The sequence below is a fragment of the Homo sapiens genome, chromosome 22 (assembly GCF_000001405.40).
Source record: "Homo sapiens chromosome 22, GRCh38.p14 Primary Assembly".
Lineage (NCBI taxonomy): Eukaryota > Metazoa > Chordata > Mammalia > Primates > Hominidae > Homo > Homo sapiens.
In genome coordinates, this window is record NC_000022.11 from 36,601,328 (window position 1) to 36,621,749 (window position 20,422).

The 20,422-nt window shown below is 45.9% G+C and overlaps 1 protein-coding gene across 3 annotated transcripts in view, besides 3 other annotated features; it reads right to left on the reverse strand.

The window, feature by feature from the left end:
- CACNG2 (calcium voltage-gated channel auxiliary subunit gamma 2) overlaps nt 1-20,422 on the reverse strand; it is a 142,896-nt gene that overhangs the window by 40,471 nt on the left and 82,003 nt on the right. The window lies entirely within an intron of this gene.
- Nucleotides 7,519-8,183: an enhancer, noted in NCBI's record as "OCT4-NANOG-H3K27ac-H3K4me1 hESC enhancer chr22:37004893-37005557 (GRCh37/hg19 assembly coordinates)". NCBI's record gives its function as "activates a minimal SCP1, AML or CMV promoter by ChIP-STARR-seq in naive and primed H9 embryonic stem cells {active_cell/tissue: H9 hESC(naive and primed)}" and the evidence as "EXISTENCE:reporter gene assay evidence [ECO:0000049][PMID:30033119]".
- Nucleotides 8,184-8,847: an enhancer, noted in NCBI's record as "OCT4-NANOG-H3K27ac-H3K4me1 hESC enhancer chr22:37005558-37006221 (GRCh37/hg19 assembly coordinates)". NCBI's record gives its function as "activates a minimal SCP1, AML or CMV promoter by ChIP-STARR-seq in primed H9 embryonic stem cells {active_cell/tissue: H9 hESC(primed)}" and the evidence as "EXISTENCE:reporter gene assay evidence [ECO:0000049][PMID:30033119]".
- Nucleotides 8,848-9,512: an enhancer, noted in NCBI's record as "OCT4-NANOG-H3K27ac-H3K4me1 hESC enhancer chr22:37006222-37006886 (GRCh37/hg19 assembly coordinates)". NCBI's record gives its function as "activates a minimal SCP1, AML or CMV promoter by ChIP-STARR-seq in primed H9 embryonic stem cells {active_cell/tissue: H9 hESC(primed)}" and the evidence as "EXISTENCE:reporter gene assay evidence [ECO:0000049][PMID:30033119]".

Consider the following 20,422-nt stretch of genomic DNA (forward strand, 5'->3'; position numbering starts at 1 on the left):
GACAGATCTCTCCCTTTTTAAAGGCTGAATCAGAAATAATATTCCATTGTATGTAAACACCACAGTTTCTTTATTCATTCATCCATTGATGGACATCTAGATTGTTTCCATATTTTGGCTATTGTGAGTATTGCTGCAATGAACATGGGAGTGTAGATACCTTTTTTATTTTTTATTTTTTTTTGGGACAGGGTCTCCCTTTGTTGCCTAGGCTGGAGTGCAATGGCACACTCTTGGCTCACTGCAACCTTCGCCTCCTGGGTTCAAGCGATTCTCATGCTTCAGGCTCCCAAATTACAGGCGCCTGCCACTACGCCTGGCTAATTTTTGTATTTTTAGTAGAGAGAGGGTTTCGCCATGTGGGCCAGGCTGGTCTCGAACTCCTGACCTTGTGATCCATGCGCCTCGGCCTCCTGAAGGGCTGAGATTACAAGCGTGAGCCACTGCGCCTGGGGAGTGTAGGTATCATTACAAGGTGGTGATTTCATTTCCTTTGGGTATATACCAGAAGACATATTGCTGGGTCATATGGGAGTTCTATTTTTATTTTTTTTTGAGGAAACTCCATACTATTTTCCATAATGGTGGCATCAACCTACATTCCCACCTAACAGTGTGCGAGGATTCCCTTTTCTCCACACCCTCGCCGACACTCGTTATCTCATGTCTTTTGATAATAGCTCTCCTAACGGGTGAGAAGTGGTATCTCACAGTCATTTTGATTGGCACTTCCCTGAAGATTAGTGACGTTGGACACTTTTCCATTTACCTATTGGCCATTTTAATGTCATCTTTGGAGAAATGCCTATTAAAGTCCTCTGCTCATTTTTAAATTGTGTTATACATTTTCTTGCTATTGAGTTGTATGTGTTCTTTATAAATCTTGGATATTGAGACTTTAGTTTAAACAAGAATATATGTTTAAAAACTCAGATATTAACCCTTATCTAATATATGGTTTGCAAATGTGTTTCCCAATCTGTACATTGCCCTTTCATTTTGTTGTTTGTTAAAATAGTCTTTTATATGTATTTATTATTAAACACATTCTAAAAATATATATATATATATTTTTTGAGACAGAATCTTGCTCTGTCACCCAGGCTGGAGTGCAGTGGTGCGATCTCGGCTCTCTGCAACCTTTGCCTCCTAGGTTCAAGCGATTCTCTTGCCTCAGCTAGCCGAGTAGCTGGGATTACAGGCACCCGCCACCACGCCCAGCTAATTTTTGTATTTTTAGTAGAGACGGGGTTTCGCCATGTTGGCCAGGCTGGTCTTGAACTCCTGACCTCAGGTGATCCGCCTGCCTCAGCCTTCCAAAGTGTTGGGATTACAGGCGTGAGCCACTGCGCCCGGACTACTTCTTCATTATTATTACATCTGTTATGGCGATCTGTGATCAGTGATCTTGGATGTTACCATTGTAATTGTTTTGGAGTGCCAAGAACTGCACTATATAAGATGACGAACTTAATTGATAAATGCTATGTATGTTCTGACTGTTCCACCAGTTGGCCATGTCCCTGTTTCTCCCCCTCTCCTTGGACCCCCCTATTCTCTAAGACATGACAATACTGAAATTAGGGCAATTAATAACCCTACAATGGCCTCTAAGAGTTCAAGTGAAAGGAAGAGTTGAACATATCTCACTTTAAATCAAAAGCTAGAAACAATTAAGCTTAGTGAGGAAGGCATGTCATAAGCCCAGACAAGCTGAAAGCTAGGCCTCTTAAGTCAAACAGTTAGCCAAGATATGAATGCAAAGGGAAAGTTATTAAGGGAAGTTAAAAGTGCTACTCTCTATGAATGATAAGAAAGTGAAATATATTTGCTGATATGGAGAAACTTTGAGCAGTCTGGATAGATCAAACCAGACACAACATTCCCTTAAGCCAAAGCCTAATCCAGAGTAAGGCCCTAACTCTCTTCAATTGTATGAAGGCTAAGAGAGGTGAGGAAGCTGCAGAAGAAAAGCTGGAAGCTAGCAGAGGTTGGTTCATGAGGTTTAAGAAAGAAGCTGTCTCCATAACAGAAAAGTGCAAGGTGAAGGGGCAAGTGCTGATGGAGAAGCTGCAACAAATCATCCAGAAGATCTGGTTAAGATCATTGATGAAGGTGGCCACACTAAACAACAAATTTTCAAGGTAGATGCAACAGCTTTCTATTGGAAGAAGATGCCATCTAGGATTTTCATAGCAAGAGAGGTCAATGGTTGGCTTCAAAGCTTCAAAAGACAGGCTAACTCTCTTGATAGGGGCTAATGCAACTGGTGACTTTAAGTTGAGGCCAAGGTTCATTTACCATTCTAAAAATTTTAGAGCCCTTAAGAAGTATGCTAAATCTACTCTACCTGTGCTCTATAAATGAGACAAAAAAGCCTACATGCAGCATATCTATTTATGGGATGGTTTACTGAATATTTTAAGCCCGCTATTAAGATCTACTGCTCAGAAAGATTTCCAAATATTACTGCTCATTTACCATGCACCTGGTTCTCAAGAGCTCTGATGGAGATGTATAAGGAGATGAATGTTGTTTTCATGCCTGCTAACACAACATCTATTTTGCAGCCCATGGATCAAGAAGTAATTTTGACTTGGAAGTCTTATTATTTAAGAAATACATTTCATAAGGCTATAGCTGCCAGAGACAGTGATTCCTCTGATGGATCTGGGCAAAGTAAATAAAAAAATCTTCTAGAAAGGACTCAACATTCTAGATGCCAATAAGAACATTTGTGATTCATGGGAGGAGGTCAAAGTATCAACATTAACAGGAATTTGGAAGAATTGGTTCCAACCCTTATAGATGACTTTCAGGGGTTCAAGATTTCAGAAGAGGAAGTAATTCAGATGTTCTGGAAATAGGAAAACAGCTAGAATTAGAAGTGAAGCCTGAAGATGTGAGTGAATTGCTGCAATCTCATGATAAAACTTGAGTGGATGAGAGGTGGCTTTTTATGGATAAGCAAAGAAAGTGGTTTCCTGAGATGGAATCTGTTCCTGTTGAAGATGCTGTGAACATCACTGAAATGATGATAAAGTATTTAGAAGATGATATAAAGTTAGTTGATAAAGCAGCAGCAGGGTTTGAGAAGATTGATTGCAACTTTGAAAGAAGTTCAACTGTGGATAAAAATATATCAAACAATATCACTTGCTATACAGAAATCTTTTGCGAAAGGAAGAATCAATTGATGTGGCAAACTACATTGTTGTCTTAGTTTAAGAAATTGGCACAACCACCCCAACCTTCAGCAACCACCACCCTGGTCAATCAGCAGCTATCAACATCGAGGCAAGACCCTCCATCAGCAAAAAGATGATGGCACACTGAAGGCTCAGATGGTCAGTAGCATTTTTAGCAATAAAATATGTTAAAATTATGTATGTACATTGTTTTCTCAGACATAATGCTATTGCACACTTAATAGACTACAGTATAGTGTAAACATAACATATATTTTTTGAGACAGAATCTCACTCGGTCACCCAGGTTGGAGTGAAATGGCACAATTATAGCTCACTGCAGCCTTGACCTCCTGGACTTAAGCAATCCTCCCACCTCAGTCTCCTGAGCAGCTGGGACCACAGATATGTGTCACCACGACTGGCTGATTTTTTATTTGTAGAGATGGGGGTCTCACTATGTTGTCCAGACTGGTCTCAAACTCCTGGGCTTAAGCAATCCTCCTGCCTCAGCCTCTCAAAATGTTGGGATTACAGGTGTAAGCCACTGCCCTTGGCCCAACATAACTTTTTTTTTGAGACAGATTCTCACTTTTTTGCCTAGGCTGGAGTGCAGTGGCATGATCTCAGCTCACTGCAACCTCTGTCTCCTGGGTTCAAGCAATTCTCCTGCCTCAGCCTCCTGAGTAGCTGGGACTATAGGTGCCCACCACCATGCCCGGCTACTTTTTGTGTTTTTAGTAGAGATGGGGTTTCACCATGTTGGCCAGGCTGGTCACGAACCCTTGGCCTCAAGTGATTCACCCACCTTGGCCTCCCAAAGTGCTGGGATTAAAGGCATGAGCCACCATGCCCGGCCCCAACATAACTTTTATATGCACTAGGAAACCAAAAAATTTGTGTGACTCACTATGTTATGATATCTGGTGTATTGTGGTGATCCAGAACCGAATCCTCAGTATCTCCCAAGTCTGCCTGTATGAGAGAGGCAGTGATGCTCAGTGGTTAGCTTCACAGGGTCTGGAGGCTGGCTACCTGGGTCCACATTCTAGTTATGCCACTGAACCTGAGCGTTGGCTCCTCCACTGTAAAATGAGGAGTCAGTTAAACTTCTGTCATAGAGTTGTGAGAATTGCATAAAACACTGCATTGAGAGGGCTCAGCACAGTGGCTGTCACCTAGCTCGCTAAGAGGTAGGTGTGATTATGTTTTGCTGGGCCCCACGGTCGGGGCACAGATAGATCACACAGTCTCTACTTTGAAGAAGCTCACAGACTAGTAGGGGAGAGACCGGTGATTACACTCTGCTGTGCCAAGAGAGCCTGCCCAAGGAGCTATGGGAACCGCATGCACTTAGATCCTATGAAACAGGATGGTTCAAATGACTCTGTCAACCCCAGAGTCCCTGGAGTAGGCGGATAATGAATAAACACTGTCATGTGTCAACAGCCCTAAATTCATCTTAAGAAGCCCTGTGGTGTGGTGGCTGTGCCTCTCGCAGGAGAGCGTGGGTCTGAGTTCTCTTTCTGCCGTGTATTAACCATGTGCTCTCGGACAAGGTGTTCATCTTTCAGTTCAGTACTTCAGCTCGTCCTTGAATTTTTATCAAGTGGTTACTAGGTGTTGGTGTTGAGCTAGGTTCCACAGCAGAGAAGGGATCAATACAGACGGATTCCCCGTCCCCCAGAGCTGAGTCTTGAGAGGACCCTAGACAAATAATTAATGCAGACGACCCAGAATGAAACCACAAGGGCAGCGAGGGCGTTGGCTGGTCGCCGGGAACAAGCTGCCATGAGCCAGGCATGGGGCCAAGCACTTTACAACAAGCCTGTTGAGGTGGACGCTATTAGTCTCCGTACATTAGAGATATGGAAGTGGAGGGACAGAGGGGTGAAGGAACGCCTCTAAAGATTCATTGCTCGTGTAAGTGAAAGAGCTGGGCTCTGACCCCGGGCAGGAGGTTCTAGGTGACTGCTGGGCTGCACTGTTACAGCACAGTACAGGATGCTGGGTAGTAGGGACAGTGCATGGCATAATCTGGGTACTGGCAGGTTGTCAGGAAGGCTTCCTGGAAGAAGCACCATCTCGGATGAGCCGTGAAGGATAAGTAAAAATTGGCAGATGAAAGGGAGGGCAGGGAGGTGTTTGAGAGAAGAGCAAGTGAGGGCCAACCAGAGAGAGGACAGGATGCTGAAGCCAGAAGTGTCATTTAGAGGACGGAAACCAGACGGTTGGGCTGTGCGTGTGTGTGTGTGTGTGTGTGTATGTGTTTGTATGTATGTGTGTGTGTATGTCTGTGTGATGTGTGTGTCTGTGGGTCTCTGTGTGTGTGTATGTATGTGTACGTGTGTATGTCTGTGTGTGAGTCTGTGTGTGTGTCTGTGGTGTGTGTATGCATGTGTGTGTATATGTGTGTATGTGTTTATATGGGTGTGTGTAGGTATTATGTGTATGTCTGTGTGTGGTGTGTTTGTATGTGTGTGGTGTGTGTGTATGTCTGTGAGTGTATATGTGTGAACTTACGAGCAATGGGGAGCCACTGAGGGGTTTTAAGTAGGAGGTTAATGTGACCAGATCTGTTTGCCCTGGTGGCTGAGTGGGGAAAGGACTGGAGGGGCAAGACCAGAAGCCATGGGCCCAGATTCCTCCATCGGGTGAAAAATGCTTGTGGCCTTTCCTACTTGGCAAAATATACCTTAATTTTCTAACCACAGATTTCCCCAAACCTGTCTTGGCCCTTTTCTTTTTTTGAGCCAGGGACTTGCTCTGTCACCCCAGCCAGAGTACAGTGGCACAATCACGGCTCACTGCAGCCTTGCACTCCCCAGGCTCAGGTGACAGGTGATCCTCCCATCTCAGCCTCCTGAGTAGCTGGGACTACAGACACGCGCAATCATGCTCAGCTAATTTTTGTATTTTTTGTAGAGACAGGGTTTCATCACGTTTCCCAGGCTGGGCTCAAGTGATTCTTTCACCTCTCAGCCTCCCGAAGTGCTGGGATTACAGATGTGAGCCACTGCACCTGGTCCCCTTGGTCCATTTTAATCACATATGTATATTCAGTTTTGTGGCATAGAGTCAAGCCAGAGTGCTCAAACACCACCTACACCATTAACCCATGAGAGCGGAAATAGCTCGTGCAACGAGGACCCACAGGCCTGAGGATGCCCATGTAGCCACATTCCCATTTCCAGGCCAAAGACACACCCCTGCTCAGAAATCTCAAAGATTTCCATTGCCTCCATTGCCTGTCACATAGAACCAGGATTCCCAGCTAGATCCAATCAGATCCAAAACTCTCATCTTCTCAGCTCTGACTCTGCCATCATGCTCTCCCAGCCGAATTAAGCTCTCCTCTCTTCTCCACCTAAAACAACACCCATTTCACTCTGGACAGCAGAGCTAGAAGCCACAGGTGGTAATGTACAGGTAGACCCGAGACTAGGGTGAGACATCTAGGGTGCAAAATTTAAGGAGTCCCGTAAGCATCTCCAACTTTGCACCTTGCTTGCTTTACCCTAGTTGGGCCCTGTGTAGGGAAGGAGAGGTCAGGTTGATATCCGGGTAAGTGTTGTGTTTTCAGAGCTGCCTCCCAAGGTAGTGAGCTACCTGTCACTGGAGGGGTACCAACAGAGGGGGTTCAGCTGCCTCTTAGGGATGCTGAAGAGAGAATTTCTACAGTAGCTGGGATTCTGAGGTTCCTTCTATCCCTTGGAAGCAGGGATTCTAAGAAGCCTTCCCTGATCCTCACAGCCCGAGCTGCCTCTCCCTCCTTTCATCACTGCCTTTACCTCTAAGATCACTCAGCTGGCAATTTACCACAGGCTACCCCATGACATCTCTTGTATTGCTGTCTTGTCTTATTTCAGATTTCACAAGCTTGTGTGTCATTTTCCTAACGGAATTGCATCGAGGACAGGGATTGAACTGAATACTTTCTGTTCTCTCTCTCTCAGTAGATATGGGAGACTTTAAAAATCCTCTCTGTCCCAATGCTTCATATATCATCTGATGTACTCATCACATCAACCCCTTGGGTAGGTTCTATTAATGAGCCTGTTCTACAGGTGAGAAACTGGAGGTTCATAGAGGTGATAAATGTTAGCCATTATTTTTAATAGGGACTCAGGACTGATGCTATCAGACTACCTGGGTGTGTATTTGCCTTGGGCAAATTCCTCAACATCTTTTTTTTTTTTTCAAATGAACCTGATGTTATGAACATATATTTAACCTCTTTGAGCCTCAGTTTCCTTACTGTAAACTGGAATAATATCATTACCTATTTCACAGTTTCTTGTGAGGGTTAACTAAGTTAATCTACATGTGAGCTCTTTGAACAGTACATGCAGTGAGCTCTCAGTACCTGCTAGCTATTGTTAATTATTATTGTTGTTGTTATCACAGGAAGGCCTGGCATTATCAAATCTAGAAAAAGAATGAATAAAATGTGACTCTCAGTGTTTCCAGGTGACCTCTCACCTGCAGAGCCTCTGGTTTTTCTCAGCACTGTCCCTCACCCCAGGAGAGAGGATTCTGCCTCAGAAGCCGTTCATGTATATGGATATGTGAGTCTCTTGTGAGTCTAATCGGCAGGAATCAGCCCCCTAGAGTGTGATCGGGCAGGAATCAGCTCCTTAGAGCGTGATCAGGCAGGAATCAGCAGCCCCAGAGCGTGATCGGGCAGGAATCAGCACCCCCAGAGCGTGATTGAGCAGGAATCAGCCCCCCAGAGTGTGATCGGGCAGGAATCAGCACCCCCAGAGTGTGATCGGGCAGGAATCTGCCCCGCAGAGCATGATTGAGCAGGAATCAGCCCCCTAGAGTGTGATCGGGCAGGAATCAGCCCCCCAGAGCGTGATCGGGCAGGAATCAGCCCCCCAGAGCGTGATCGGGAGGAATCAGCCCCCCAGAGCGTGATCCGGCAGGAATCAACCCCCTAGAGTGTGATCGGGCAGGAATCAGCCCGTAGAGCGTGATCAGGAGGAATCAACCCCCTAGAGTGTGATCGGGCAGGAATCAGCCCCCCAGAGCGTGATTGGGCAGGAATCAGCCCCCCAGAGCGTGATCGGGCAGGAATCAGCCCCCCAGAGCGTGATCGGGAGGAATCAGCCCCCCAGAGCGTGATTGGGCAGGAATCAGCCCCCCAGAGCGTGATCGGGCAGGAATCAACCCCCCAGAGCGTGATCGGGCAGGAATCAGCCCCCCAGAGCATGATTGGGAGGAATCAGCCAACAGAGCATGATCAGGCAGGAATCAACCCCCCAGAATGTGATCAGGCAGGAATCAGTCCCCCAGAGCATGATCAGGACGAATCAGTTCCCCAGAGTTTGATCGAGCAGGAATCAGCCCCGCAAACCATGACAGGGAGGAATCAGCCCCCAGAGCATGATCAGGCAGGAAATCAACCCCCCAGAATATGATCAGGCAGGAATCAGCCCCCCAGAGCGTGACCGGGCAGGAATCAGTCTCCCAGAGCGTGATCAGGCAGGGATCAGTCCCCTCAGAGAGCCTCCCGGAGCACGGTCAGGCAGGAATCAGCACCCCAGAGTGTGATTGGGAGGAATAAGTCCCCCAGTGTGTGATCAGGGAGGAAATCAGTTTCCCAGAGTGTGATCCGGCAGGAATCAGTATCCCAGAATGTCATCAGGCAGGAATCAGTCCCCCAGAGAGTGACTGGGAGGAATCAGCCCCTTAGAGCGTGATTGGGCAGGAATCAGCTCCCCAGAGCGTGATTGGGAGGAATCAGCCCCTTAGAGCGTGATTGGGCAGGAATCAGCCGCTTAGAGCGTGATTGGGCAGGAATCAGCTCCCCAGAGCGTGATTGGGAGGAGTCAGCCCCGTAGAGCGTGATTGGGAGGAATCAGCTCCCCAGAGCGTGATTGGGAGGAATCAGTCCCCCAGACCGTGATGGTCCCTGGGACAAGTGTAAAGAGTGGTATTGAGACTACAAAGCTGAGGGCAAGAGTTAGTCTTTAATGAGTGATTGACTAATTGAATAAAAACACTTTGGAAGCCTTCTCTGTGCCAGGGAGGCAGATCAGGATGAGAAGGCCAGAATCTTTGCTCTGAAATCTTCACAGATGAGGGGCAGGGGAGGACAGAGGAGTGACCCCCAAAGCCAGCCTGTCCACAGAGAAGCAGATGAGAAAGCGGGGCCACCTCCTACCACAATCCCCAGGAGGAATGGGGCTTCCATGGGACAAGGAAAGTTACTGAGAGAAGTTGCAGCTGATCCAGACAGCTCAGCGAAGACCAAGGTCAGGGAGGCTGAGTTGGTTGCACCAGTTGTTGCATATGTGTGGGAGAGGTAGGGGTTCTTGGGGAGACCGCCAAGGCCTCTGCCACCCTCGCTTAGGAAGAGTGGGCACGGGGAAGACCCCCAAGGCTACTCCCCACCTCCCTACTCCCCGTGGCTCTGGTCAGCAGTGGCTGCTTTAGTTGCCATTGGGAAGGCAAACACTGTTTGCATTCCTGTCATTTAAAACAATGTGGTGTTGTGACACTCTGGAATCTGAAGATAAATGTTTAATAAAAGGATTCAATTTGATATGATGTCGGAACTTAATTAGATCCACAATGCACAGAGGGCTTGGCAAGCCCTTCAATTAGGAGCTACTTAAGGGTGTTGTGTGTGGGGATCTGCAGCGCTGTCAAGGGACTGCGGGGGCTGGGATGGTGCCTCCCAGCCTTGAGAGCTGCCCTCTATAGATTCGGGCTCAAGGGCACTGCTTTTTGGCATTTCTGGTAGAGGTGATGGAGGGTCCCGGCCCATTCTGTGCTTGGAACTCTGCATATGCTAGGATTGTGGCTGCAGCATGTGACCACAGAATGATGCAAATGAACCTGACCTATTTGAGACTCAGGGCTATGACCCCAGGTCAGGTGCAGACTCTTCAGAGGCAAATGTTGGACAGGGGAACTGCCTTTAAGCCCACTTGGCCCAGAGTCCAAGGGCAATGAAGCTCAAGGCTGCCAGGAACTGGTAAACAGCTGTGTTTGTGATCCTGGCCAGGACTGACATCAGGCAGGCAGGTACTGATATAGCTACATCAATAGTCAAATATGAGTTGATAAAATGCCTGCTGTCCAAGCACCCCGAAATGCCCCTTCTGCCCACTGCTTTGGTCCCTCCAGCCCCTCCACTGGGATCTCTTGAGCCTCCCCAGCAACTAAAGTGTGGGAGTCTGACCAGCCGCGGGTCTCCAGGCTGTTGTTCTAGCACTGTGGCCGGCGTCTGTTCTGTCTGGTCAGGACCGAGGCCTCAGCAGTTGTGAAATCTGCTGACCATCATCCCCAATTCCAGCCTGTAAAAATGATAGCCGTCTCGGGGACAAGGGAGTAGAGACCTGGGACCATGAGTTTCAGCATCAGACTCCACGAATTCAGGAGTGTCAGTGCTGCTGGCTATGAGTTGTGTGGATACCCTGAGCCTCCTCTGTAAACCGGGTTAATAACACCAATGTCAAAACATGGTTGTGAAGATTAAAGAGCATAAATAATGTGGGTGGTTCCAGGGCTTAATGGTAAGCACTTTAGCTGCAGACTCCAGCAATCCAAGTTCAAGTATCAGTAGGACATTTTATTAGATATAGAATGTAATGCATAAGAGTATAATATCTGGAAGAACCAGCCTGTGTGGGTTCAAATCTCAGGGCTGCCACTTACTAGCCATGACCTCGGGTAAGACATGTCACCTCTTAGTGCCTTACATTCTTTATTGGAGAATACAATGATAAGTATCTACTGGGGTATTGGAAGGATAGGCCAGCTAATATTTGTAATGGACTTAGAAGAGTACTTTATGCATAGTAGGGATTCATTAAATGTCAGCCATTACTATATTAGTATAACATAAGGTGCCTGGCACATAGTAGATGCTTAATAAATGGTATTGACTACAACCACATTGAGAATAATCTTCTACTCTGCCTGGAGTAAAAGACTCTAGCCTCCTAAGTCCCTGAGATCCTTACTAGTTTTCTTCATTGTTTTTACCAGCCAATATCTTCCGTACATTCATAGTTTATCGTCCCTGGAAATCTCATAACTTCTTGGAGGAGAGAGGCCACCTCCTGGTTATGCCTCTTCCCACAACCCTCTCACTTGGCCAGCATCCGCCTGGTTATTTGGCTGGTCATACGCTCCACCACGAGCACACAACACATGTCCAAAGAATGTGCTTCCCACGCTCCTCAATCCTCACTTTCCCAAACATACCCCCTCCACCACCTTCCAGCTTGCTACCACTTAGCAGATGCCTGATATGTTTTAGCTCAATGAATGAATGAGAGAACCCAGACCAAAGAAGTCTTTTGTCCTAAGCTTGGGAGAGGATGCTTTTTACCAGTGGTTTACCGGCTGCAGGTATTTCATCCATTAGACACATCCTTTCCCGCTAATGCTGTGATTTCCAAAGTTCATTCTGCTGATTCCAGCCCCAGGAGATGCTAAGAGGAGATACAAAATAAAGGGGTTCCACTGGCAAGTAAGTTTGGGAAATGCTGAACAAGGGGAGGTTAAATAGGTTTCCTTACCTCAGGGCTTTTCTGTGCCTTTACTATGCTAACTGCATTGTCAAACTCTAATGTGGGAATATAGTGCTCAATGTTTCCAAAAGTTCATTTCATTACAGGCTCTCTGTGTGTGTGTGTGTGTGTGTGTGTGTGTGTGTGCATGTGTGTCTTTCATCTCACGGGGCTACAATCTTTGGATCACTCTTTGGGGAACACTGCAGTAAATGAATCTTGGATTTCACACCTGTACTTTCATGCACAGCAGGGAGTAATGAAAAAGCAAAATGCAAAGGTTTCTAATACCTTTCTCCCTCAAGTGCTAGTGTGGGAGGCATTTCTATACATGTCCCTACAGTCAGCATCTACACATGCCCCTACAGCTTTTGCTATGCACCGTTGACATGATTTGAGTAATCTGACCACCTGGCTTCTTTCTTGATGTGCCGTCTTCCCTTGGCGTCTGGGTCCTCAAGGTTGCTTGGTTTTCTTCCTGTTCATTTTCAGACTCCTTTGCAAGGTCCTCTTCCTCTGATTATCTTGTACATTTGGTGTTTCTGGGGCTCTCTCTTTGGCTGTCTTCTCTTTTCATTCTACATATGTTCCTCAGAAATCTCATCTCTGGCTTCCGTTTTCACTTACATACTGATGACCCACAAGTCTTTATATACAACCCAGTCCTGTCTTCTTTCCCTTGAGTTCTTGGTGCGCTGGCTGTCCCCCCGTGAATATCCCACAGATATCTGAACCTCAACCTGAACTTAGTGTCCATTTCCCCCATCCTCTTATGCTGGCTCAATAATAAATCATGCCTTCCTCCAGCCCATTTCCCAAGCTGCAAACCTTGGAGTCATCCTTGATTTCTACCTCTTCATCTCCACTCCCAGCAAATCGCCAATTCTTTAACATGTCTTGAATCTGGACCCCTACCAACCGTTCCCTGCACTCTCAGAACACCCTCCAACCCCCAAGTGGCTCCCCTGCTTCCCTCTTCCCTACCACTGATTACTTCCACTCTGTAGTCACTGTGATTTACAAAAGGTGAAATCGGAGCTGCCTCTCCTCAGTGCCTCCCCATTCCTACAGGATGACGTCCAAACTCTTTGACAAGGTCAACAGGGTCCACCACAATTCGACAGCTGCTTTGATCTTCAGAAACTACATCCTGTTGTAAGTCCCAGGACCCACCACGCTCTCTCCTATCTCTGGACGTTTGCCACGTGCTTCCTGGCTGTCCTTCCCAACTCACTTCTCTATCACTTCTCCTCTCTGCCCACCCCTGGATACTCCCTATTGATGCCTTAGTGCTCAGTTTACACATCATTTCCTTGAGGAAGGCTTCCTTGAAGACTGTCCCTTCCCCCACATCACCCCAAATCCTGAGCCGGCAGCTCCTTCTGGTTCCCATGGCACCCCGCACTCTTTGGTATGGCGACATTCCTGGACTACATTGAAAGGCCTGTGGCCTGCTTCCTTGCCTGTCTCCTCCACTGGTGTGAAAGCCCCTTGAAGAGCTGCTGCATTCATCATTGTATCCTGAGGCAGAGGCAGAGGCAGCCTGTCCACCCTCTCATGTTTCCGATGCACCCAAGCACCATCCAGCCCCGGGTCAGCACATCCACAGAGAGCAGGCAGGGTGGTGGGAGCAGCAAGTGGTGAGGCCTGTGATGCCATAATCAATTTTGCTGGGCTTAGCGTAGTTACTGAAAAGCTTGTGGAGGGAAGAGAACACACCTATTGACTCAAAGGAGGTTTGGGGATTTTCTGTGGTTTGCAACGATCCATTTGCTCGTTACTAGCTGAGATCTGGAATTGGCAGTACTGACATAATGGCTTATGTCCGTGGACTTACTGCACATGGAGAAAGAAGCTTCGGAGTCTGGGGGAAGAATGCATTTCGCCTTTCCAAGCTTCCCTTGTCCTTGCCTCATCTCTTGAGCGGTGCCAGATGACAAGGGCCTCTGTCACTGTGATGCAGTTTACTTCCTATCTCCCTCTCTAGCAGAGGTCTGCTCTTGGAGAACGGACTATGTGTATTTTGTTCACAATGTACCTCCACTGCCCATCCAGGGCTTTGGCTTGCACCAGGTGCCCAGTAAATGTCTGGAGAATAAATGAATTGAATGAAGGTATTCGCAGCCATATGTCCACTACAGCCTATAAGGCTGCATCTGATTTGGTTGGGAGGGCAAGTGTGTGTACAAGGTTTGTAGTGATTGGCAGGAATCTCACAGATAAGACTAGTGAACAAACTGCACAAACTACTGCCCAGTGGTTGGATTTCCTGTATCTCATGGGTACCACACCTGCAGGGCCCTTCTTGGTTTAGTCTGTGATGACTGCTACGCTCAACTGCCGCTTTCCACAATCTGACTGCTCAGCCACACTGGATTCCTGATTTCTCTTTCCATACAACAAGCAGACTTCCCCTCTGGGCCTCTTGCACCATGGCTCCCCTGTCTAGAATGCTCTTGTTTTGCATCCGCATGATGGGCTCCTCACTTATTCAGGACAAAAATGATATGACCATCATTCTCTGTTCCCCCAGCTGGGTTAATTTTCTTCTTATCACGTACCCTGCATTCATCTTACCACTATCACATTTTTATTTATTTTTATGTTTACTGTTAGTCCCATTAGAATGGACGATCCACGAGGGCGGGGCTTTGCTCTGCTCACTGTTGCAGCACCAGAGTATAGACCCATGACTGGCATGTAGCAGGTGCTCAGTAAATATTTGTGGAACAGTCTGATTTAGCTTTCTGCTTTCCAAAGAAATAATGTCACAATAGTGTTAGTTAAAAAAAATAGTGTTAGTTAAAAAAATTGTGTTAGTTAAAAAAAGAAAGAACTCACAGATGTACTGCATGTCAAGGTATGAAAGTGTGTCTATGTTCAAACATTCTCTTATTTATTCCTCACATAATATTATTCAACCACACACGTGGTAGATGGAGTGTTTATCTCTCCTATTTTTCAAATCCAGAGCTCAGAAAAGTAAAATCATTTGCCCCAAAGACCCTCAACTCAGAAACTTATGTCATCTGACTCCAGATCTCGTGTCCCTTGAGTGACAATGTCCTTGAATTACTTAACCTCTTGTTGCCCTGGTGTCCTCATCTGTGATATGGAGATAAGAAAAGAATAATCCTCCTAGTGTTGTGTGAAGGTCAAATGAGTTAATTTGGTGTGATGCTTAGAGAAGTGCCTGATACATACTAAGAACTCTGTAAATGTTACTTATTATTGTTGAGTTATTTTAATATTGAATTATTATTAAAATTCTCCCTTGTTAGAATTCTATCCTTGAATTTCTGATGCATTTTTCATGCAGCTGCATTTTAGATAAGACATATTAAATACCTGTCTTTCACTACTGGGATTTATCTTGGTAAGGCTGCACGCCATAGTCTAGCGCCTTACGATTCACCGGATTTTCCTGTCTCCAATTGTTCCCATTCACCTGTCTCCCCAGCGAGAGTGTAAGTTCCTGGAAACTAGAGAGTATTGCTGATAGAGGTCTGGACAAAGTGTGACTGTTTTCCTTTTTCATTGAGATCTGTAATCCATCTGGAATTGATTTTTTTTTTTCTGTATGGTATGAAGCAGGGGTTGAGATGCATTTCGTTCCCTATACAGACCTGGGTGACCCAACACCATTGCATCCTGCTTGCTTGGCTCATAAAGTTCTCTCTGCTTCAACTGCCATCTCCTTTCTCAGGACCTATTTGAGTCTTCCATATTCTTCAAAGCACAACTAAAATCCTGCCTCCTTTATGAAGTCTTTCCTGACTAATGCACTATTCATTTATACCATGATGATCTATTTATTTTCTACTCTGTGTTGGGCATTGTGATAGGCAAAGGGATGCTGGGCACTGGGGAGAGTGGTGAATGAATCAGAGACCATCCCTTCCCTCAAGAATCACACAGGCCAGGAAAGGGACACAGACATTGACCAAGTTATGGTGCATGTGGGTGTTGGGAAGTGGAATTCTGGGCTCCTGGAGATGTGTAACTGGGATGTAACCTAGTTTGGGTTTTCAATGAAGTCTCTCCCAAGGCATCCATGTTGAAATTGAGACCTTGAACATGACTAGGAACTTGCTAGACCAGGTCATGGGGGTGGGGAGATTGGTATTTCTCCATGTTCCAGTCTTGAAGAGCACAGACATATTTAATATTCTTTCTTTATGTTTCATGTTGATCTATCTGGATAGATGTTCCTTGGGGATTAGGAGCAGAAACTATTTTTTAAAAATCCATTACAGAGCCTAGTACAGGGCTGAAAGCAAAGTAGGTGTTCTATGTATGTTAATTCAGAGGGCAGGTAAAAGCATTGTATCAGTCATGCTGGAAATGCTGTAATCTGGTCATTTGCTCAGAGGAGGGAACTAAATGAGAGGAAGTATACCAGCTTTTGGAGGCAGACAGATCTGGTGTAAACCTTGGCTTTGTCACTTACCAGCTATTCATGTTGAGCCAATTTACTTAATCTGAGTCTGTTTCCTCATCTGAAAAAGATATATAATCATATCTGCCCCATAGGCTTATTATAAGTTTAAAAGGAAGAAATCCAGTAAAACCCTGATCCTGGGCATCTAGTAGGCAGTCAATAAAACATCAGTCTCTTTTCCCATCTTAAATTCAAAAGGCAATGTGGTGTGATGGGATGGATATGGGCTTTAGAATCAGACAGCCCAATGACTGAACTCTGACTTCATCACCTCTCTGCTTAACTTCCCTGAGCCTGTTTGTTCACCTGTAGAATGGCATACTAGCTCCTGCGTTTGAGGAGCTCTGGGAAAATTAGGTGAAATAAATTGTGTTGAACACCTGCCACATTCTAAGGGTTGGTAACCATCAACCCGAACCTTAAAAGTCCTACACGTTTTAGCTGCTTGCCAAGAGTATAAGCATTGGAGCTCTGCAGTATTTACCTGGCCATGGCAGCTAATCAATAAACATGTGCAGTATGATTGTCTGATTCTAAGTGCCATCCTGGGTGGAGGTGGAGGGCAGGAGAAGGGACAGGTAGTGAATTCTGAGTTGTGTGCTGGTGACACCAGGTGGCTTCTGGATGGCTTCCAGGACTCTGGGTCCAGGACACTGCCAGCCTCTTCTCTGTGACTTTGCTCCATTGGGTTTTGGTGGGACCAACCTCCCCTTTCTTCCCAAGAGGAACTTGCCACCATATGGCTGCGTCTTCATCTGGACTAGAACCTGGTGAAACCCAGAGGAAAGCAGCCAAGTGTGCCTGCAGGGGCCCCTCAGAGGCAGCTGCTCCTCTGTCACATCCCAGGCTGCAGAGGCTGCCCCAGTCTGCTGCCAGGTCTCCTTGCTGCCCTTACATGAGCGACTGGCTTTCCCTTCCTGGGGAGACAGGTGGCAGCTGTATGGCCTAAGCGCCGGCTCTACCTCTCTGCCTTCCTGTTAGCCACCAGGGCTTACCTTTCTCTAGTCCTGACAAGTCAGAAAGAATGAAATGGACACAGTCAGGCAAGAATTGATGATATTGGATGTGGCTGCTATCTCTGGTCTTGCCTCCACTTTTGAAAGGAAGGAGAGAGACAACAGAATGGCCTGCAGATGGGAATAAAACTTAGAGAAGGGCCAGGCACGGTGGCTCCACCTATAATCCCAGCACTTTGGGAGGCTGAGGCGAGCGGATCATGAGGTCAGGAGATTGAGACCATCCTGGTTAACATGGTGAAACCCCGTCTCTACTAAAAATACAAAAAATTAGCTGGGTGTGGTGGTGTGTGCCTATAGTCCCAGCTACTTGGTAGGCTGAGGCAGGAGAACCACTTGAACCTGGGAGTCGGAGGTTGCAGTGAGCCGAGATGGCACCACTACACTCCAGCCTAGGCGACAGAGCGAGACTGTTTCAAAAAACAAAAAACAAAAAACAAAAAGCAAACAAACAAACAAAAAAACAAAACAAAAGCCTTAGAGAACAGGGCAGGAAATTAACTTTTAGGGAGTGCCTACTACATGTCTGGCACTTTCCATAAAATAGCTTTTGAAATTCTCACAGCCAAATTGTGTGGCTAATGTTATTATTTCTACTCAGATGAGGAAACCGAGACCCAGAAAGGTGAAGGGATGGCCCAAGATCGCAGTGTTTCTATGTGGCAGAGGCAGGATTTCAACTCAGTTCTGTTTATCAATCTATGCTCATTCCACTGCACTAGGATTTCTCAAATTTGAGTGGTGTAGGGATGTATTAAATGAATATAATTCTGATGGCACCGCAGGATGACAGAGTTTAAAAAATTCTGAGGTTTAAAATGTAAAAACATTATCACTAGGTGCAAATTTCTTACGCTCACGCTCACAGCTCTCATACAATTGTCAAAATTACCAAGGAAATACAGAGTTGCAGTACTAATAAAAGTCAAATGAACAATGTTGATTGAATGCGATGGGTGATGTTTTGCCGAAGTGTCTATTGAGTTCACTACGCTTTGTCCAATATGTACCAAGTGTTGACTCTGTTTGTCTGCTAATGTTTTCAGTTTGAATTATCTTAAGACCCTCATACATAAAGACCACCGTAATGTCATTTGACATCAGTTGACAGTAGTCCCATCATCCACCTTGCCTCTGTTCTTTTCTCCTTAGTCAATGATAATCAAGGCGGTAAAGTTCCTGCCCAATGATGCTGCCTTTGTGATGTAAGATCAAAGTCTCAATTTGTCCAATAACTTAAGAAGTGAAAGTGCTATTCTACGAGTCTGACTTTCCACTGACACAGACTGTGACAGAGAAGTTTAGTCTTCCTAAGGTAAAAGATTTTAATCTGAGGGTCGATTGTTGTCACTTGAAATTTGGACATACATGCCACTCTCGTGGCAGCTGGACATGTTTATCAATCTGTTAAGAGTTAAATGCTGTCACTTGGGGTCATCGCTTTGTGTAAACACAAAGGCAAACTCCAGCACTGAAATGGCACAGCCGTGCTGGGTTGGAAGGCGCCTCTGCAGATCCTTATAAGCCAGTTATGCTTAAGTGGATTTTAAAAGATTATCATCAACTAGAAAACACGTTCAAGCATGTGCATACACACACACACACAGTGCCTGGACTGCTGAGTCTAGGAAGGACTAATAGACTCTAGGAAATCCTACCCCATCTTCTGTGACTTCGCTCAGATTACAGCAGAGCAGGCCAGCAAAGACAAGTAGTTGGACACCTCACCTTTCAGTCCAAATCTTCCAAATCTGTTTGCAGAGGGAAAGTGGCTCAGAGAGGCATTCCTTTCCTAGCATAAGAACTTAAGGCAGATGGTCCTCTGGGATGCAATTGAACGACTTTCCACTAAGTGATAGCAAAACTCATGCCCCAGAGTGATGTTTGCTGTGTAGAGAGAAATGTGTTCACATGGATGCATTTGGAGAAAAAGGATTCTAATGGTATTTTTTCCTTTCCTTCAAATAAACAATCACCACGTAGAAAATCTGTTCTGCTTCTTTTGTCAGTTCACTTGTTTTGGGATATGGTGGAGTGTTTAAGAACACAGACTTATGAGTAAGACTCCCCAGATTTGAATTCCAGCAATATTATTGACTGTGGGCCTTGGCCAAGTTACTTAATTTCTCCGCACCTTTTTTTTGCTCATCTGTAAAATGGTGCTAGTGGTAATTTGTGACTACCTACTGGGTTTGTTATGGAGCTCACGTCAGACACACACATTAAATGCTGACCACGGGGCCTTGCGTCAGAGCATCCAGAGCCAATGAGAGTCACATTTGCATTATTTACCAGGTTCTGTCTTGTATCTGGCCTGAGGCCAGTAGGAGCTCAAAAAAGAATAAGTATTTACTATTCCAATCCTTATCCTTCAAGGCTGATTTGAGTTGCACTTCCTCTGGGAAGCCTTCCCTGCTTCTGGAAATCTAGTGTCAGAGCTGCCAGCACCTAAGCAGCCTGCTCCTGACTGTTGGGTTTGATAGTCCAAGTCTGTCTGTTCTGGTAACAAACTTTGTGTTTAGAACTCTTACATTGTATGAGATGGGAGCAATTCAAGGCCAAAAAGTGACTTGCTTTTGGATTAAACTTGCTGCCTGGATGAATGTCTAATGGATCTCTTATAGGTATTGAGCTCATTCTTGAAACTACTAAAGAAACCAGGAGAACAGAATGAATTCCATCCCTAATGTCCATAGGTCGCTTTTTATTTAGGAAAACAAAGATTGGCCGGGTGCGGGGGCTCACGCCTGTAATCCCAGCACTTTGGGAGGCCGAGGCGGGCGAATCACCTGAGGTCAGGAGTTCAAAACCAGCCTGGCTTACATGGCAAAATCCTGTCTCTACTAAAAATACAAAAATTTGAGTTTGAGACCAACCCGGCCCACATGGCGAAACCTCATCTCTACTAAAAATACAAAAATTAGCCAGGCATGGAGGCACATACCTATAAACTCAGCTACTCGGGAGGCTGAGGCATGAAAATCGCTTGAACCCAGGAGGCAGAGATTGCACTGAGCTGAGATGGTGCCACCGTACTCCAGCCTGGGTGATGAAGTGAGATTTTGCCTCAAAAAAAAAAAAAAGAAAAATGAAGATTAAGTATGAGGTGTGTGTGCATGCATGCATACATACACAGGCACACACACAAACACTACTGGAGCTTCCCTCTTGCCTTTCTGTTGCATGCACACACAGGCACTGTAGCACATACTCCCCTGTGCTCCCCTGTGTCCTCCCCTGCCAGTGCAG